At 38.1% G+C, this 19739-nt stretch overlaps 1 protein-coding gene across 20 annotated transcripts in view; it reads left to right on the plus strand.

Annotated features, from left to right (window-relative positions):
• The window catches only part of CARMIL1 (capping protein regulator and myosin 1 linker 1), a 341157-nt gene that overhangs the window by 286180 nt on the left and 35238 nt on the right, over positions 1–19739 (plus strand). For 12 of the 20 annotated variants that reach the window (XM_017011011.2, XM_017011016.2, XM_017011013.2 and 9 more), the window contains 2 exons: positions 15371–15437; positions 15690–15886. In XM_017011011.2, the coding sequence (XP_016866500.1) occupies positions 15371–15437; positions 15690–15886 (264 nt within the window). Of the gene's footprint in view, positions 1–11422; positions 11441–11562; positions 11774–15370; positions 15438–15689; positions 15887–19739 lie in introns of those variants that run through there. The other 8 variants (XM_017011008.2, XM_017011009.2, XM_017011015.2 and 5 more) reach the window with 2 other exon arrangements.

A 19739-nucleotide genomic window follows, 5' to 3' on the forward strand; every position in this document is an offset into this window, starting at 1 on the left:
TTACCTTCAGCGGCTAGGTACAGTGGCTCACGCCTGTAATCCTAGCACTTTGGGAGGCCGAGGCGGGCAGATCATGAGGTGAGGAGATCGAGACCATCCTGGTCAACATGGTGAAATCCTGTCTCTACTAAAAATACAAAAATTAGCTGGGCGTGATGGCACGTGCCTGTAATCCCAGCTGCTCAGGAGGCTGAGGCAGGAGAATTGCTTGAACCCAGGAGTTGGAGGTTGCAGTGAGCCGAAACAGCCTGCACTCCAGCCTGGCGACAGAGTGAGACTCCGTCTCAAAAAAATAAAAATAAAAATTTACCTTCAGCTACAGGTACATATTTTCAGCTTCCTACTTGACATCTCCAATTAGCTGTTCAAAAAGTATCTCATATATAGTATGTCCCAAATAGAATCATTGAGTTCCCCCTTTCCCTCCCTAAGGCTTCACCATCAGCTTTGTGACTTTCTATTTCTACCCATTTGTTCTGAACTCTACCTGTCAGCCTCAATCTCTCTTGTTCTTTCACTGTCCAAATCTGCCTTCCCTCCCTCATCCAAGACATGTTTGATTCTTGTCTGGACTCTTGAAACAGGCTTGTACTTCACACTTCTACCTTCACTGTTGCTTCTGCAGTCAATCGATCCCCTATTCAGTATCCAGAAGAGTTTTCTAAATGGAAATCAGATTGGTATCTAAGGTGTCAAATCCTCTGATAGCTTCACATTGTACCCAGAATAAGGTTCATGGTCCATAAAGTCCTACATGGTCTGCCTTCTGTCTCTGTCTCCTAATCTTACTTTAGTCTCTCCTTTGTTCTCTTCCCTCCAGCCACTGGTGCTTTTCTTGCTTTTCCCTAGAACTTGTCCAGGCTCCCATCTCAGCTCTTGTTCCTTCACCTTGGAATATTCTCCACCAACTTGTCCCATGGCTGTCTTCGTGCTGTTTAGGTCACAATTCCAGTGTTTCTTTCTCAGAAGTTGTCCTTGATCCTCTGAGCCAAAGAAGCCTTCCAGTCACCTCGCATATTATATTATCTTAGCACTTATTAGAACTTGAAGTGATCTTACTTACTTGTGAAGGTATAAGCTTCTGGCAGGCCAGGACTTTGTGCTGTTGACCACATATCCCCAGTATCTAGAGCAGTGCCTGGCACAAAATTGCTAAGTAAAATTCATTTCCCTCCTCCTGGCTTTGAATTATAATTACTTGCATGGGTTTTCTTTGTATGCTTCTTGAAAGAACTGGAATTACATGTTATTGATTTCTATATAGCTAATGCCATCAATAAATATCAGTAGTAGCAGATTAATCTGGGAGCTATAGAAAATAATTCTTGCATGAAAAAGTTATCTTTAAACTGATGAGGTTCAATTAATGAGAACATTATAGATTACCAAGCTGTCAGCAAGTTGCTGAGGAGAAAGAGATTAAAACCACCCACCCACTGTAACCAGTGCTTTGTCATAGCAGCCAGGTGTGGTAGCTATTTTAACCCATTTTTCAGATGAGACTCTTAGAAGTCAGGGATGTTAACACACTTTCCCCCATCACATTGCAATAAGGAGTAGCTGCAGCTGAAAGCCCAACTCCACATGATCTGACTCTCAAACACGTTCTCTGTCTGCAGAATTCATGGTCTTCAGGCTGGCCTGAATCCCAGGAAACAAAGACCCAGGAGAGGTTTGTGGTGGGAAAGAGCCTTTGCACTGAGGGCTTACACTGAGTGTTCGGTGGATAGTATCTTTATTCCCACGGGCCAATTATTTCTTTATAGAGGTTTATTATTCTCAGTGGAACTGGGGGAGATACTAACCTATGGTAGCAAATCCATACCTCCTCCAATTATGGGGCAAGCAATGGCATGGATTGTAGATGCCTGAACTGATGGAAACAGCAGAAAGATCTGGGGTAGAGGACTCTGCCCCTGGAAGCTGCCCATACATATAACACATGTGATCCTTCCAAATTCAGCCCTTGTGGTTAATCAGGCTGTACTTCTTGCCCTAACTTTGAATTGGATTGTTTTCCTTCTTGCCTGATAGAATCTCAGGTTTAACCAAATATTCTCTGAGATTAAAGACTTTCTGAGGAGGGAACAAGTAGGGTAGATTTACTTGGGCTGAAATTTGGGAATGACAAAAAGAAGTGGCCTAAATGTGGGTGGAGGGAGAAAGAAAACTAGTGCATGACTCCACTCCACATTATGCTTTTGGCCATTTAAGATTAGGTCACAGTAGATAAATTAAGTGATTCTGTCTAAATTTCTAATTGTACTGTTATAGTTTAGAAACATCAATTAAAGTTGGGATGAGTTAAGCTTCATTCTTCAGCTCACATGTAGACATTCAGAGAGTGAAATGGGCCTGTCAAATTCTCAGGTTCCCTAAATGTGCCTCAGAGGAAACCTCTGTCACTACAGGAATTTATATTTAAGATTTCTTCCATCTCTCAGGGCCGAGGCCAAACCTCTATCACAAGCCTATCCTTTAAAAAAATCAAAATATAAAATAAATGGTTTTTAGCTTTGGCCTTTGACGTATGTGCTGAAGAAAATCACATTGACTTTCATTCTGAAAAATAACACTTGGAAACTGGACCAAAAAAATTACTTCCATGCTCCAAATATAACTGCAAAGGATTTCTTTTATAAATTCTTGTCTAGATTATATAGCCTTATATAAATGTATTTCTTGGATTTGTATGTGTTTCTGACTTATTTGAGAAACTATTTTAGGCAGCAGATTTAATAATTAATAGAAATTAAAAAGGTAAAGTGGGGTGAACAGAGTTAAGAGGAAAGAAAACCTGAAGGAGTTGTAATACAGCAAACTTAAGGATCAGCGCCCAGCCTAGGACCACATGGTGCTCTATTCTGCTTGCTGGCTAAGGGTGGAGCCTTAACCTGGAAACTAGTGCTGCAAGTTTTGGATCTAACATTTGATTATCCAAATTGGGGTATGTGATCATTTCTGTTGTCCAGACAGAAGACCTTCTAGCCAGAGCCGAGCTGTAGGGTGGGTACCTGCAAATCAAGACAGGGTTTTTATCTGAAAGCAGCTGCAAGTCCACCTCAGCCCTTGAGCCAAGTACTTAATGGAAATCCCCAAATGCCAAACTCAATTCAGCATGGCCAAAATGACTTTTTTTTCTGAAAAAGATTTCAGAGCATTCTTTATCATGGCCATAAAAACCTTAGTAATGCTTCTAGTTGTGCACTGTGTGACCTCTTCCCTCTAGGTAACTGAATGAACTGGCCACCTGTATGTGGTTATTTGATATTGAAACTTTAAATGTTGGAGAATGTCACTGGAAGATTCATATGGGGTTTGTTCCAGTTAACATTAAATCAAACAATAGCTAAGAGATTGCCCTCATTATGCTCTGAAAGCCAGTTTTGTTTTGTTAGAAAATAATGCCCTAGTGGCATATAAGTCATATGTTTGATAGAAAATGTACCCAACTTTTCATTATACCTTGGCTGTAAATCGATAATTCATTTTAAAATGAGATCAAAGCCACAAAAGATTAAAAGCAGCAAATAATATTGCATATTTTTTTGACAGATGTTCTCATAGGTAGAATAGAGTGTATGAATGATGATCTGAAGTTATGGAAAAATAACTATCAAAATAATTGATCTGTAATTTAGAGAGTGATATCTTGAGAATTCACTCTTTTGAGAATCTCTCTTTAGAATTCATTCAGTAGGGATGTTGATTAAAAGGAGTTAAACTGAGCATGATGAAAATCTTGGTTTCCAAGCTGGAGCAGGTTTCAGAGTTTTGGTGATAAGCCGTCTTTCCCTGAAGCTCTGTTTGAGGTTGAAGAGTTGGGGTTTTAGGGCCTAATTTCAGTAAAGCTTGGGGAACCACTTGCTCTGTGGTTAAAAAGTATAGGAACCATGTCTTCTGATTACTGATTGATTACCACAGCTCTATAACTAGGATCCTAAGTCACCAGGCCCCAAAATCACCCTCCACTCTTTTTACTTGGTACCTCTGTAGTTTATTTGACTCAAGTTTCTTAAAGCAGTAAAATAATTGTTATATTTAACCTGGTTTTTGTTGGTGGCAGTGTTGTTGTTAACTACTAATTTTTGTCATCATTATAAAGCTGATATTCCATGAAGGGAGCAAATGTGTTACCTGAAGAATTTAGGCTAATTTTGATTATTCATCTTGATGTCACTGAACTATGATGTCCATTCTAGAGGAAAGTATTTAAGTCTTCTCCTAAACTCCTAGTTTTTGCCTTTCATTTTAACATGGATTTTCCAAGATTGCGACTTAAAATACCTCAAGTTTAATACTCAGTAGGGTTTTCCCCTTTGTTTATGTTTTCACAATAAAGAAAATATTAAAATGCTATTCAAGTTTTTATGACCATCAGATTAACATCTTGCTTACTACTGCAATAAAGTAAATAATTTTCCCACTTTTTTTTTTTGAGACGGAGTCTCGCTCTGTGGCCCAGGCTGGAGTGCAGTGGCGCTCACTGCAAGCTCCGCCTCCCGAGTTCACGCCATTCTCCTGCCTCAGCCTCCAGAGTACCTGGGACTACAGGCGCCCGCCACCAAGCCCAGCTAATTTTTTGTATTTTTAGTAGAGACGGGGTTTCACCGTGTTAGCCAGGATGGTCTCGATCTCCTGAGCTCGTGATCTGCCCGCCTCGGCCTCCCAAAGTGCTGGGATTACAGGCGTGAGCCACTGCACCTGGCATTTTCCCACTTTTTAAAAATTTATAATGCTACAGGGATATATACCTGATCTTGTAGTAATAAACATCATGCTTCTGTGCCCAACAGGAGTCACACACATTATGGTGGCAAGATATTTGCTTGAAATCAGTGCCAGAGAATTCTATTTTTGGACTACTCTTAAGAAAAATGTATTAAATTTTATTTGCTTTTTAAGGAGAACATTCAAACGTGAATTTTTACTTTTGCAGCAGTTGCAAGATGAGTTATGAGGAATAAAAAGTGAGGCATTTCCTGTTTCCTGGAGAAAATGTGACAAAGGAAGATAAATATTTTGTATCAAAAAACTGTGCAGATCTGGAAAATAAGGGAAACATTTTAATTTCAAAATAGTTCTCTACCATGATCTTTTCAATAGTCTCTCATCAGTGCCGTTCCCTAAGTGTTTTTGTTTTAACATCATGATGCCAGTTTAACTTTTATGTGAAATGAGACTCTGGATATAAAAGTTAATGAGTGTAGCGTGAATAGCTGGATTTAATGTTGTGTTTAGTAGGAAATGTGGCACATCACTAAATCTCTACATATCATTCCTCCTTTTGTCCATTGATTTATTGCAGCTTTCTCAGAGTTATAACTTCCCTATACCTTTTCTTCCTAGGCTTGCAAAGGAATACTTTATGCTGTCCAACAATTGTCTTAGAAAGAATTAGGTATCTCTTTTTCTTAGTGAGATTTACACCATCTCAGACTTTTAAAAATGGAAATGCACAAAAATTACTTTTTGTAAACTACAAATGTGATAATACTGTTTGGTTAGATATTGAGGGTAAAAGTCAATTAAAAATTACTGAGTTTTCTCGTTGAGCTGAAAATCTAGTAGTAAGTATTTAGTTTTTATAATCTAGTTCATTAAACAGGGAAGGTAGGTCTAGGATATTTTATATCAAAAAGCAATGATTAGCTCTAAATTCAATGGGATCATTTCAGAGCTCAGAAAATCCAGTTGAAAGGGCTTCACTGAGACATTCTGAGCACCAAAAAGCATAATGACTAGTAATTTAAGATACACTGAAGTATTAGAGAACCATGCATTCATAGTAATACTCAGAAAACATCGAAATGCCAGTACAGAGGATTGTAAGAGAGGAAATGTTCTCTTTTCAGAGGAATGGCACCTAATAAATATAAGAACAATGAAAGAAGTAGAAAGTTATAATTTTGCAGTTCTGATCATATCCATTAATTCAGGCAAGGATTACCAATAGTTGCTTAAAAATCTACGTGGACTAAAAGTATCACCTCATAGAGTTACTATTAATTACCAAGGGAATTAATACTTTACAATTAGTACTTTACAATTAGTACTTTACAATGGAGCACAGCTGGAAAGTCCCCATGCTAATCAAGGGATCAAGGTCAGTCTTACCAGTAGTGGAACAACCTGACATATGTGCCAATCACTGTGATTCAGTCAGTAGTTCACAGCATCCCGTATGTGGTATTCATGCTAAAAATGTTTCACTGAATCTAATCATGAGGAAACCATCAGACAAATATAGCATGTGAGGCAGTCTGTGAAACAATCGGCCTGGATTTATCAAGAAAGTCACTATTATGAAAAAGAAAGGTGGGGATGGGAGTGGGGAGGGAGGATGTGCTAGGTGAAAGAGCCTGAAGAGACATTACCCTATATAATGAGTGCATTCTCTATTAAGATCCCGAAAGGGGAGGGGATGTTTTAAGGCACTTGAGGGACAGTTGGGGGAATTTGAATATGGACTATAGTGTGTATGTTAGATATTATGCAATTGCTGTTAATTATCTTAGATGTTGATAATAATGTATGGTTATATAGGAAAATATGATTCTTAGGATATTCATGCAGAAGTATTTAAGGGAGAAATGTCAAGATGTCAACAACCTTTAAATGGTTCAGAATTTTTTTTTTCTGTGTTTGTGTTAGAGATAAGAATGAAGGAAATAAAGTAATTTTGTGTGACAAAATGTTAACAATTGCTGAATCTAAGTGAAGAGTATATTTGTATTTATTAGACTATACTTGTCCTTTTAATTTTGCTAAATTTGAATATGTTCAAAATAAATAGTTGGAGAAAAAGGGTGGGTGTATGTATTTGAAAAGTGTATTGTTGAAGGAGGTGGACATCATAGCTGGGTGCAGTGGCTCATGCCTCATGCCTGTAATCCCAGCACTTTAGGGGGCCAAGGCAGGAGGATTGCTTGAGCTCAGGAATTGGAGACCAGCCTGGGCAACAAGGCAAAACCCCGTCTCTACAAAAAATACAAAGGTTAACCAGGCATGGTGGTACGTATCTGTAGTCCCAGCTACTCAGGAGGCTGAAGTGGGAAGATGGCTTAAGCCCAGGAGGCAGAGGTTGGACAATGAGCCAAGATTGAGCCACTGCACTTCAGACTAGGTGATAGAGCCAGACCTTGTCTCAAAAAAAAAAAAAAAAAAAAAAAAAGGTGGACATCAGTACATGAATCACTAGGGTCCATGAGGAAGTTTTTGTCTGTGTAACAAGAAATAGAAAAAATACAGACACCAGATTTTTCATGAAAAATAAATGTCTCTAAAGGACTATTGTTTATAATAAATAAGTCTTTACTATTTTATCTTTGTGCCTAAATGCCCTTTTTGGTAACAATGGTTGGTACTAGTAATATTTTCTTTTTGAACAAGTCTATAGAACCTGAATGTGGGGAGCGCATTGGATTAAAGCACTGATTCAGTTCATTCATTCAAACACACACTTCTTGAAGGCCCATTATATGCCAAGCCCTCTATGGGCTCTGGGGATCTAGAAGTGAACAAGACAGAATCCTGGCTTATGTTTTTCACCCAAGAGATGTTCATTTTGTCTTCCCCAGGGATGACCAAGGGGAGGAGGATGGGGAGGGGCACCTAAAGGAAATCCTTTGAGCCACTCTAGGCATTCCCCTATGTCACCCAAATTATCCCATTTATCTATCATGTGTTTTTGACACATTGCTTAAGATGTTTCAAAAAGTGTTCTGCTGTCTATTACATGAAAACCATTTTCATTTCATTAAAATGAAAAAAATTACTTTTCATGTTAAAGGATGCTATAGTAAATTTCTTGGCCATTAGATAAAAAGAATTCTCTCTGCCTACACACCTGTTTCTATTCTAAACTCATTTTTAAAAGTAAATATACTTGACAAGGTGACTCTGTAGTTGAAATTCTTGTAGGTTTTCTGCTTTTCTTCCCCTGGAGACTGAGGGAGGACTGATGAGACAGTGGCCAAAAGACGCCTCTGCCAGTTTTTTGCCAGCAATAAGAAAACGGAGGGTTTACCTCTAAGCAAAAAAAAAAAAAAAAAAAAATCCTTTTTTGCTTATTTCTTTTTTGCTTAGTGGTAAAACCCTTCATTTCCTTATTTTTTTAACTAACTGGCTTTTTTCCCCTTCACCCAGTCTGTCCAGTTCTGACCATCTAGTCCATCTCAGTTCTGTATTAAAAGGAGGTGCTGAAATGACCGGCAAAACATTTGTGTATTTCTGATAGAGTGAATTCTATTAAGGTTAATATTAATTTTTTTAAAAAATCCCTTACATGTGAGGTTCATGATAAAGAACATGAAGAGGATGTGGCACTGGGATTTTTATTTAATTTGAGTTCTTGGGCTCTGGAAAACAATAGTTCCTGAACATCAGGAAGCCAGACACTTTTTAACACTTCCACAGAGCAGCACTAACACTTATCAAACACTTACACAAACAGAACAACTCCGAGTTACTTCAAGAAACTTTAAAGTTTCTTTCCATGTGTTGTAGTTGATCACTTTCCATCCCCAAGCTATTATGATCTGGTTGGTGTCTTTGTCATTGTTATCCATCAGGAGGTAGCAAAGGTGGTGGAAGTATATGGTCATTCAGACAGGCTCCTATTAGAGTGTCTGCAGAATAGTAAGTCCAGATAATCGGTCAATACCATGACCAGAGTGATTTCTTTAAGTATTCCTAAATAAACTTTTTGGGACATTCCTAAGAAATTACAAAAATTACTCACAAATGCCAAATACCTGTGTTCCTAACACCCTGAAGAGCCACCTGTTAACATGTTAGAATCTTTGTTTTGCCAATATACACTGGAACACACACACTAGGAGTGCAAGAGCTTCTCTCTCTTATTCACTGCTAGACCCACGCCTTTCTCCAAGAATGCCTGATGCACAGTATGTGCTTGGTAGCATTTGTTGAATCTTAATACAGGGCATCACAGATAATGTAATAGCATCATTTGACCACTACTAACAATCTCAAGCTTCTCCCCGTTTCTCCTGAGGCACTCTCATGAGTTCAGTTGGACACTTCCTGTTTGTTTTTTGTGTTCAAACATACGTGTATTCATGAACAGTGTATAATATTATTTTGCATGTTTTAGAGTTTACATAAATGGCATCGTACCACGTGTATCTTTTTTGAAACTTGCCTTTTTCACTCAGTATTATATTTTGAGACATGTTCATGTTGCTACAGGTAGTTTTTATTTTTCCTTTTAATTGATGTTCCTTTAATTTTAGTTATTCCTCTACTGATTGGCTTTTTGATTGTTCTCACTTTTTTTGCTGTTATAAATCTATTTCTTATTAATGGCCCCCCTCCTTAATACTCTCTCTTTGGGAATAGAAGAATTTTAAAAATGATATTAACCTCATAATCACAGCCAATTATTGAAGCACTGAGAGGTCACTGATTGGCACTGTTTGCCAGACACTGTGCTAAGCACTTGGCATTTATTATCTTATTTAATCCTCACAATTTATTTTACAAACTAGAAAACTGGAAGCTGACTTTGCAAAAACATTGGTTAAAGTCCCATAACCCAGTAAGTAGCAGGTTCAGGATTCATGCCCAGTTCTTGGATGCCAAAGCCATGAGCATGAAACATACTCCTTCCCTTGCCCTTGTCCTAATGGGGGGATGTTGAAGTCATTGTAGCCCAAATGAGTTCCAAAGAGTGGACAAGAGTAGCAGAATGAACTATTAATCTTCCTTCTATCAAAAAGTTGAAATGTCTGTTGCCACGCTTTCCTTCTTCGTGGGAACATTTTTTGCTTGCCTGTCATTTTAGGAGTTGAACCAATTGAAAGGTTCCTCACCATCACTTATAATGATCTTTAGGTGGATAATTGGGACAGACTACTTTTCTTGATGAATTAATCTTTCACAAAGAGAAGGAAAGTAAAAACTCATCTATGGGACTTAACCATCAGCTGTAACTCTTTTATGTATGTATTCATAGTCATACCTTTAAGAAAGCTTCTGAGGGCTATGTGTTAGGACAGGGCAGGAGTCTTTGTTTTGGGCAATTCGGGAAAATATATTTGAAAATATATTTTTACTTTTTCTCCTTTGATCCAGCAAGGATGTTTTCCTGCTAATTTAATGGGTCATAGAATGAGTTATATTTGAAGTAAATTGCCTGATCAAGTATGAAATCAGAAATGTGAAGAATGAGAAATTTTCAGGACTTTGCCAGTGGAAGCCTTTCTGATAAGCACATAATACTGGTGCCAATGATGGTGATGGTTATAGGGAATGCTTTTTACTTATGTGCTGCCTTTACTTTAAAGAGACACAAATCATTTACATTCACAAATTGAGGAGCCCTGTATTTCCATCCCATTTTATATTGAAAATAATTGACATGAAAAATAAAGAACTTGGAAAAAAGAAAGCCCCAGCCCCAGGTGGAAGGAGTAGGTGGCCTTCCTCAGGAGGTTTGGAAAGGATCCCTCAACCCCTGACACTTCGCTTTCACAAAGACTTGCATTCTACAACTGGACTTCTTTTTTGTTTTTAAAAATTCTTTTATAAATGAATTTTTAAATTCATCATTATTATTTCAGAATAATTATCATTCATTCAGACTAAGAAGAGGATGCCCTAACAAAATTTAATGATGACCAATGGAATTTTAAGAATTATTTAGAGATTTTTTTTTAAATCTAAGGTGAATGGAGAAGGAAAGAAAATAAAGAAAAAAATTATTTAGAGATGTAATGTAAAATGTAAGGTGACCTAAATTCCCACTAAGGTATAAGGTATCATCAATATTGAATTACACTGTGGGTAGGTAACTTGTGCTGAATCCTGTCATCAGATCTTTTCCTGAAAAGTTTTAATGACTGAAGAGGCAAAAGAATTCAAAGCTGCTGCTCCTAAAATGCAGTGGGAGCACAGAGTGATGTAAATGGCCCCAGAAGAGACGCCTGTACATGCCTGCAGATACACTGTCCCCACTTAGTTGTTGAGACTGGTCCTGTGGTCCAGGAGCCAGGACTTGCATGGGGTTCTTTAACAACCATCCGCTGCTCTGTCCATTATATGCTTTGGAGCTGATAAAGCCACCATCCCCCAAATGAGGTTAATGCCTTGTGGGGTTGGTAAATATCACTTTGTACACACCTAGCAAGAGACATAATATCTGTAGGTTAGGAGTTTCTGAAATTTTTCAAGCTGTAATTGTGCTTCTGCTTATAAAAAGCTAGATTGGATGTCTTAAGCCATTAATATGTTGGCCTCATTCCTGCCTTATTCCTTTGCTATGAAGGCTTTTTATGTGTTTTAGCTTTTCTGTTTCTTTGTTTGTGAATGGTATCCCTCTCCCTCCCCTTTCCTAGTAATGCTGTTGCTTTATCTCTCTTCCATTCATATTTTTTTTCTTTCTTTTTGCTGCATGGAGACTCTCTGCTGTACAAGTGTAAGTATTTTTTGGTGGCTCTGCGGTTTCTGGCTGTACTACTTTATATTCTTGTGCTCCATTTGCTTCTGTGCTGCCTGGCTGGTCTCCCAGGAGACTGTAGTGTTGTCATCCATCTGCAGATCCTGAATGAAATAGGCAACAATTTAGAGACAAGATTGGATTTTGCAAGATGGTTCAGCTAGCAAAACAGGCGATGAATTTAAAATATCTCCAGCCATGTGCCTGAAAGCAAGCAGAGTGTTGATGAAGAGGATACAAACATTCAAGAGGAGACAAGTGCTTATTCCACTCATGTAATAATAACAATAATAAAGACATGATTACTTTTAAGATTTTTTTCCTGATTCTTGTCATATTACTTGTTTCGGGCCCAGGGTTGTAGAAAATCGACATTATGATTTGCTTCTTATATTAGGAGAACTTTCCTAATCTTCTTCTCAGCTGGTATTGTTATTTTTTTTTTCTTTCTACAGCCTTGGTGGTGGGGGGAAGTAATTATGGATTCTTGAACTTGGAGTGAGAGTGTTATTTATTATTCTTTGAGCAAATGTGGCAAAAACAAAGCACCTCTTTCTATTTTTATGGTGACTTAAGCAACTTGACTCTCATTTTTTTAAAAAAAAAGTATGTCTAGGAATTACATGTTAAAAGTGGGTTTGACAGGAAAAAAATGTTACGTTGTTTGGAAGGTTCCAAGATTAGTCTTTAACTTGTAGTAAAAGTAGACATATCTCAATTGAGCTATGTGCAGAATAGTTTAAAATTCATTAAAAAATTTGATCAAATGAGTACAATTTCAGAGTAATGTAGGCATTGATGCTTTTGGATTCTCAGAAAATAGAGTTGTGGCCTTTTTGTTCACAGTGTCTGCCACAATGGGGACTTATTGATGATTTGTGATGTTAGGACAAGAAAGAAGTCTGTGTTTAAGATTTTCCTGCTAAAATTACATTTAAAATAAGGGTTTAACACCTTTTTCCTCATACTTTTTTGGGATATGGGTTTTGAAAATTATACGTTATTGCTTGCAAGATGCATTTTTTAAGATAAGTTAATTTTGTCTAGGCCTCAAGTTGACAGTGTTAACCATTGATTGATGAGAGGTCCATTTGCAGTATGTACCTCTTCTTTTTCAAACGCTGACCCCCCTTCATCTGATGGACACTTTGTGATTTCTCTGACTCAGAAAGTACTTAGGCATTAACAAATGTCAGGGAAAGGTCAATAAGGACTAAGAAACAGTTTGAAAAAATTGACCCTTTCATTTTGGTACAAAAAGAGAAGAGAGCTAACAGTGTTAAAGAAGATGGTAAAGTCAGATTGTTTTCTTTTTCTGGGATGTATTTCATCAACCCAACAGTTGGGGAGGGGAGGAGGAAGGAGCGCAAATAAACCAAATTTCTAGACAAACATTAAATATTTGCTCCTAAATATACACTTAGGTGGATAATTATAGTACATTGTTATATTTCCTCTTGCTTTAGGTTTATATGTAATGGCATTGTAGGAATAAGCCAATAAGATTAAGGAAGTCCACATTTTCTGTAAAACTAAGGAAGAATTACTTCCAAAGAAAAGTAATAAAAATATGGGAGAAATGAGATTGAGTTTTTTTTTCTCTGTTGTTGCACTTAAATCCCATGAAGGAAAGATACAGAAGCTGGGTTGCCTTCTTAATACCAATTGTAGAAACTAGCCTGATTACAAATTCTATTTTAGCAAAAGACCATTGGCTCTGTGCCAAAACTTCAGAACTACAAGATATGATAGGTATAGATTTATGGGAAATGTAATTAGAAGTTACTTACCCTTGTAAAAAGCACACAAAATAAAGGAAAGCAAGTAAAATACATTAGAGTGAGTTTTTCTGATATTCAAGCTTTCTATACTGGGCTTTGAAGCATTGGAAAACAAGACCAAGAGGAGAAAACTAGCTCCCCTTTGAGTGATATCAACCATCAAATTATCCTGATGATTTCGTGTGTTTCTTAATTATGTCTATGAAATTAAACTAAGCTGAATGACCTATTCACAGATGGACATGAGTTTGCAAATGTGATTCTTTCTGTACATATTATATATTGTCATTTATTTTATATATAGTACATATTTTTATATGTTTAAAATTATAATATATTTGAAATATAATTTTTATATATTTTACATTTATTTGGTATCATAAAGACTTTCATGATATGGAAACTTAAACCAGACTATTTTTGCCTATGAATACACTTCCTGTAAAATATAATCAAGAGTCAGGAAAAAAAAAAAAAGACATCTTCAGTCCATGCATTTTTAAACATCTTTCCTCTTTATTTGTGACAATCTAAATGAAATTGGCTAAAAATTATATCTGAAGCTACTTCTTGATTATTTTACCTACCATGATTGTGCACAAGATGGATAGAATACTGAAGAACTTGTTGCGACCAAACACAGCATATATTTTGATAGCTTGTATCTCCTGAGAATTACTTTCAGAGATTTCACTTGTGAATAGACCAGGCAGGCCACTAACTTCTTCAGCCAACTGCATGGCTAACTTTGGGGAGAACTGCCTTAAACTGGATTCCTTTCCATTTGCATTGAGTTAGCTGAGTTTTTATTGAACCTGCAAAACCTGTTACTTTATAAATAGCTTTTCCTCAGTTTGTCTGCCTTTAACAAAACCTTGAAAAAAGCCAAATCGGCAAGTTTCATTTTGTATTTTAGGAAAACCAGTCTGGATTTCAATACAATTGCTAATCATTTTTTTATCTCCCTTTTCTCTCAACAATAAATAATAGCAAAATGATATTATTAAAACTGGCATAATTGTCAAAACTATAGATTTGTTTGCTTTAAAGATCAGTATCAGCCAGTTTCTCCTTGGAGCTAAAGAATGTTTTTCAATCATGTAGATTGTTTTTTTGAGGAAGCATTAGATGAAAACCTATTAAATGAAAGTATGCAAACTAAGTTCTTTCAGTTATGTTACCTCTTAGTTTATACACGTACCAGTTTCCTGATATCAAACCAGTGAAAACATCCCTAACATCCATCCATCTCTATATGGGTCATGAATGATGTGGCAGGAAGGATGCTGGCCTGACCCTCCTCACTGGGTTCTGTCCATGGCTCTGCTCCTTCTGACACCATGAATGTTAGCCTTTGTCATCTCTGTAACTCAGTTTCATCCTTGGAGTTTATTTGTGTAGGTGATGACAAAGCTTCCCTCCGTCTTTGACATTTGTGTGATCCTATTGAGGGAGAAGATAGTGCCTTTCTGAGGGTTGGCTTTGCACCATAAACAGTTGACACCAATGCTAGGAAAGTGCTCTTCAGTTTTGGCCCTTGGTTTGAGTTTCGGTTTCATTTTTTAGAAGATTAACAGGATCAAAGACATTTCACTGAGAAGTGCCAGCAGATACAGATTTTTGAATCCTAGCACCTTTTCCTGGTCTTTGCCCATGAAGTAAAGATCAAAATCTTGGGGGCAAAATGTGAAACGAGAGTGCAACTACTTAAGTCATTGATGTGACACAGAAAGAGGTCAGGGTTGCTTACATTGATGTTACTGTGACAATGATCACTTAATAGTGTTTTCAGTTTTTCGTGACTGATTTTAACAGTCTTTGATTTTTATTTATGTATCCATTTTAACATCCTCTTACACAGCTTGGAATTAAATTCATTCATTGCTCTTTTCAGCTATATAAGTGGAATTCAACTGGTTAGGGATGAAACAAAGAGGTTAGCTGTATCATTTGAGAAATTGTAAACATTTAGAAATAGTTTGGTCTCTTCAGTTAGGTTTTCAATCATCTTCTAAAGCAGAGAAACAACTACTGAGTTAAACAGTCGATCCAGAATGTTTCAGAAGTTTGAAAGGCAAGTTTTCTGTGGCTACCTAAGTGTTTTTTTAAATTATTATTTCATTTCTAGATGACCCCTAAATCCAAAAGGAAGAGTATCCATAGCCGAATGCTGCGGCCTGTTTCTAGGGCTTTTGGTAAGTGTTTTGCTGCTGCCAATCATTTCCTTGGAACTGTGAAGCACCCTCAGCAAGACCTTAGACCATTTTAGGGATGTTCCTTATGGATGCACTACATGGGTAAATATTGAGAAAGAGTTCAGTGATCTGTGAATGTGTGTTTGCTATTCTATGCTAGACTTAAAATTACTTTTAGGAATTTTTTATCCATCTCTATGCATTAAGCTTTGGCCTTGGGCTGTTTTTTTGTTTTTTTGTTTTTAATTTTAGAAATGGAGTTTGATCTAGATAAAGCGCTGGAAGAGGTACCAATTCACATCGAAGACCCGCCCTTCCCATCCCTCAGACAGGAGAAGCGGAGCTCGGGATTTATCTCTGAGTTGCCCTCTGAAGAGGGGAAGAAGCTGGAACACTTTACCAAGTTAAGGCCAAAAAGGAATAAGAAGCAGCAACCCACCCAAGCAGCGGTAGGTGGACTGCAGGAGAGGCCCCATCTCTCCCACACCCTTTTCTTCTCTGGGGAAAGTTGGAGGGTCTTGCTAAAGTGCTTTGCACAAACATGAAAGCTATGGTTAAGGAGACTAGAACCTCTTTGCATGAGATATACAAAGTATCTCAACTTGGTGCTCAACAATTTTGGAGAATGAACAGATTGTGTCACTTAAATAAAACAACATAATTGTGGAGAAAACAATGCTGTAAAATTTCCGATTCTTCAGAACAGAGCTGCCCTTGGAAATCCTTAGATAGATAAGGTTTATCTAGGATAGGAAATCCTTATTCTAGATAAATGTCTCTAGTATTTTACAGTGTCTGGGCAAAAAAGATACAAGTACCCAAAGAATTAATTGGTAATTAAAAATTGTTTGATTCTGGAGTGCACACATGCATCCCCCACTCCACAAACTGAGGTAACTGAAGTGTTGGAGAAGAGCCCTAAGTGGGAGCCCCAGTGTGTGACTCTTGACATCCTCCTCTTTCTACTCCAGTAGAAGACTCAATTGTGTGTGCTGATGAGCCTTAATGTAGTTTACCCATGTGTCTCTCTGGTTAATGCCTTTTCTCTCCTTTATAGCTAAACTTCTTGAAAAAGTTTTCCTGTGCCAATTGTCTCTACTGTCTCTCTTCTTCACCTTCCTGTCACTCCACAGTTTACCAAAATCTTCCTTCTATATCTACCTACCCTTTAAACCACCCTCCCAAGGTCACTCCAGACCAAATCCTGTGGACTCTTCAGCTGTCCGTCATCTTACTTGATGTTTCAGCAGTTCCTTGACACAGAAAGCTCTGTCATTCCCGACAGGAGATTTCCCGTTGATCTCTGAGTCATCACACTCTTTTCTTTTCCACTCACCTCTTCAGCAATGTCCTTTCAGTTTTCCTGCCAGACCCATTTAAGTTTTTTATTGTCCGTCTGGGTGATATCATCTAACTCATGGTTTTAGTCTCTGTTGTTGACTGTAGATTTCTGGATATCCACTTGCCTCCTAAATTTGAATTAGTACCTTGGGCTCAAAAATTTGAAAGTTAGATCCCACCTTTCCTTATAAGCCTGCCCTTCTCATATCCCTGGTTTTTCTTGGGACATCATCAGTTGACAGGTTAGAAAGCTGAATACGACCCTGATCACCAGCTCTCCCTCTTCCTTCTTGCTAGGCTACCTCCCATCCTGAGCTCCAGCCCTCTAATGCTGCAGCCCTTTTCTTATTGCTTCCCCCCATCTCCTGGGCTGAGAACTACTTTCAAATTTTTTACATCTCTACTACGTCTCTGTAACTATCCACTTCTCTATACTTCTCTGTCCACACAGTACTCTGGGAAAAAGCCAGATCTATTTAGACCTCTGGCCATAATACATTATTTTAGGACTTACCTTTGTGTTACATAGTCCCTAAGGGAAAACAGCCTAGAGTATGCCAACCCTGTGAGTCCTGGCTTCATTGTGGACAAAGGTGAAGTCTCTCCAGAACAGACTGATAAGGTTGGGACATGCTGCCCCAAAATATGGCGCCTTGGCATTTGAGGAAATAGCAAAAGCAGGAAGGGCATTCTCATCTTCCCCTTGCCTTTCTCCCTTGAGGCAGATCATAAAAGCGGCATTCAACAAGTGCCCTCTGTATAGCCAGAGGAAAGAAATGTCCTTATCTCTGAAGACTTGGGGACAGAGGAAAGAATCTGAACAAAGAGGCCTTACTAAGTGCTCCCAGGTTATTACCATTAGATCATAGTTATTTCTAAAGAAGGCAAGGCTTCTTCCAGGAAGCCCTCCTTACCCCTCCCACTGTGTTCCCACAGAGCTAGGGTCACATGACACCAGGGAAGTTGTTCTCACAGGCTGGTTGTGCACAGTGCACAGCCTGAGCAACTCTCCATGGAGGCCCCACCTCCTCCAGTGCCTGATGCTTACTGTCACAGCTCTCATCACACAGAGTTTTCTCAGCTTACTCCTTGTCTTTAAGTTCTGTGTAGGCAGGGCCTGTGATTTATTATTCATGGTAATATGCTCAGTGCTTACATTGGGTTTTGAATATAGTAGGGGTTCAACAATACTCATTGGATAAGTAGGTGGATAGCTGGAGACATAGATGGATGAAGGTCACAATAACTTACCTGCCTGGTTGATCATTTCCTCACTTTAGATCAGGCTTTTGTTGTGTTTGGTTAATTTCTCTCATTTGAATCCAAATAGCTTGATACTGTTTCAAAATACAAAAACATTCTAGTTTGTTGTTTTCTAATTTACTGATTTTTAGATTTTTTAGTCCATTATTACATATTCTTATAGGGATATACTTACCTTTCTCTTTTTAAAATAAGGGAAATACTTTTGTAGATAGATAAAAAGACAACCCCCCCCACCCGCCTCCCGCCCAACAACCCACACTTCAGGTTCTAGGATGTTACTGAATAAATGGTTTCTCTATGGCTCTTTCCATATGGAATAACACTAACAATATAACTTGTCTGCGAAATGGCTTAAGTTTATCCTTGATAAAACTGGTGACTCATGGAAAGAGATAATCTTATGTACTTTTATCTTTTCTTTTCTTTTTCTTTTTTTTTTTTTTTTTTTGAGACAGGTTCTCACTCTGTGACCCAGACTGGAGTGCAGCGGCACAGTCATGCCTCACTGCAGCCTTGAACTCTTGGGCTCAAGCAATAACAATCTTCCCACCTCAGCCTCCTGAGTAGCTGGGACTACTGGTTCATACCACCATGCTTGGCTAATTATTTAAATATTTTTTTTTGTAGAGATGGGCTCTTGGTATGTTGCCCAGGCTAATCTCGGAACTCCTAGCCTCAAGCTACCCTCCTGCTTGAGCCTGCCAAAGTGCTGGGATTGCAGGCATGAGCTACCATGCCAGCCTTTTTTCCTTAAATGTTTGAAAAATAGAAAAGAAAGGAAGGAAGCTGTGGCAGAGTCCTATGTGAGGTGCATACTAGATATTGCAAGGCAGAACAGAGAATTTCTCATGTATCACTAGGTTTCATGGCTGAAGCACCAGTAACAAAAGACAGGTCAACCAGAGAAAAGCATAAGAGAATTTATTTAATGTAAGTTTTATGTGACATGGGAACCTTCAGAAATGCAGACTCAAAGAAACAGGAGAAACCTTTGTATTTTTATGCTAAGTTTGATGAAGTGGATAGTTACAGAGAAGTAGGATTAGACAAAGGGGGTATGATCTAATGGTAATAAACTGGGGCACTTAGCAAGGCCTGTTTGTTCAGACTCTTCTCCCTCTCCCCATGTCTTCAGAGACATTTCTTTTATCTGCCTATAGGGAGGGCAGTTTCTCGAATGAAACTTTTATGACCTGCCTCAAGGGAGAAAGGCAAGGGGAAGATGAGAATGACCTTCCTGCTTTTGCTATTTCCTCAAATGCCAAGGCACCATATTTTGGGGTAGCATGTCCCAACCTCATCAATCTGTTCTAGAGAGATTTCACCTTTGTCCACAATGAAGCCAGGACTCACAGGGTTGGCATACTCTAGGTTGTTTTCCCTTAGGGACTGTGTAACACAAAGGTAAGTCCCAAAATAATGCATTATGGCCAGAGGTCTAAATAGATCTGGCTTTTTCCCAGAGCACTGATGGACAGAGAAGTATAGATTAGCACACCTTTACTTGAGTTCATAGTGAAAATATATTACCTTATGATATCACGCTGCTTACAGTTTCCAAAGTGCTTTCATGTCTAACAGCCCTGTGAAGCTGCCACACAGGCACCATTATTTAAATTTTTCAGGTAAGAATGAGGAGGCTGTGGCTTACTTTTATTATTAGTGTTTAGTAAGAGCAATTATTAACAATTATCG

Source organism: Homo sapiens, chromosome 6 (assembly GCF_000001405.40).
Source record: "Homo sapiens chromosome 6, GRCh38.p14 Primary Assembly".
NCBI classification, from domain to species: Eukaryota; Metazoa; Chordata; class Mammalia; order Primates; family Hominidae; genus Homo; species Homo sapiens.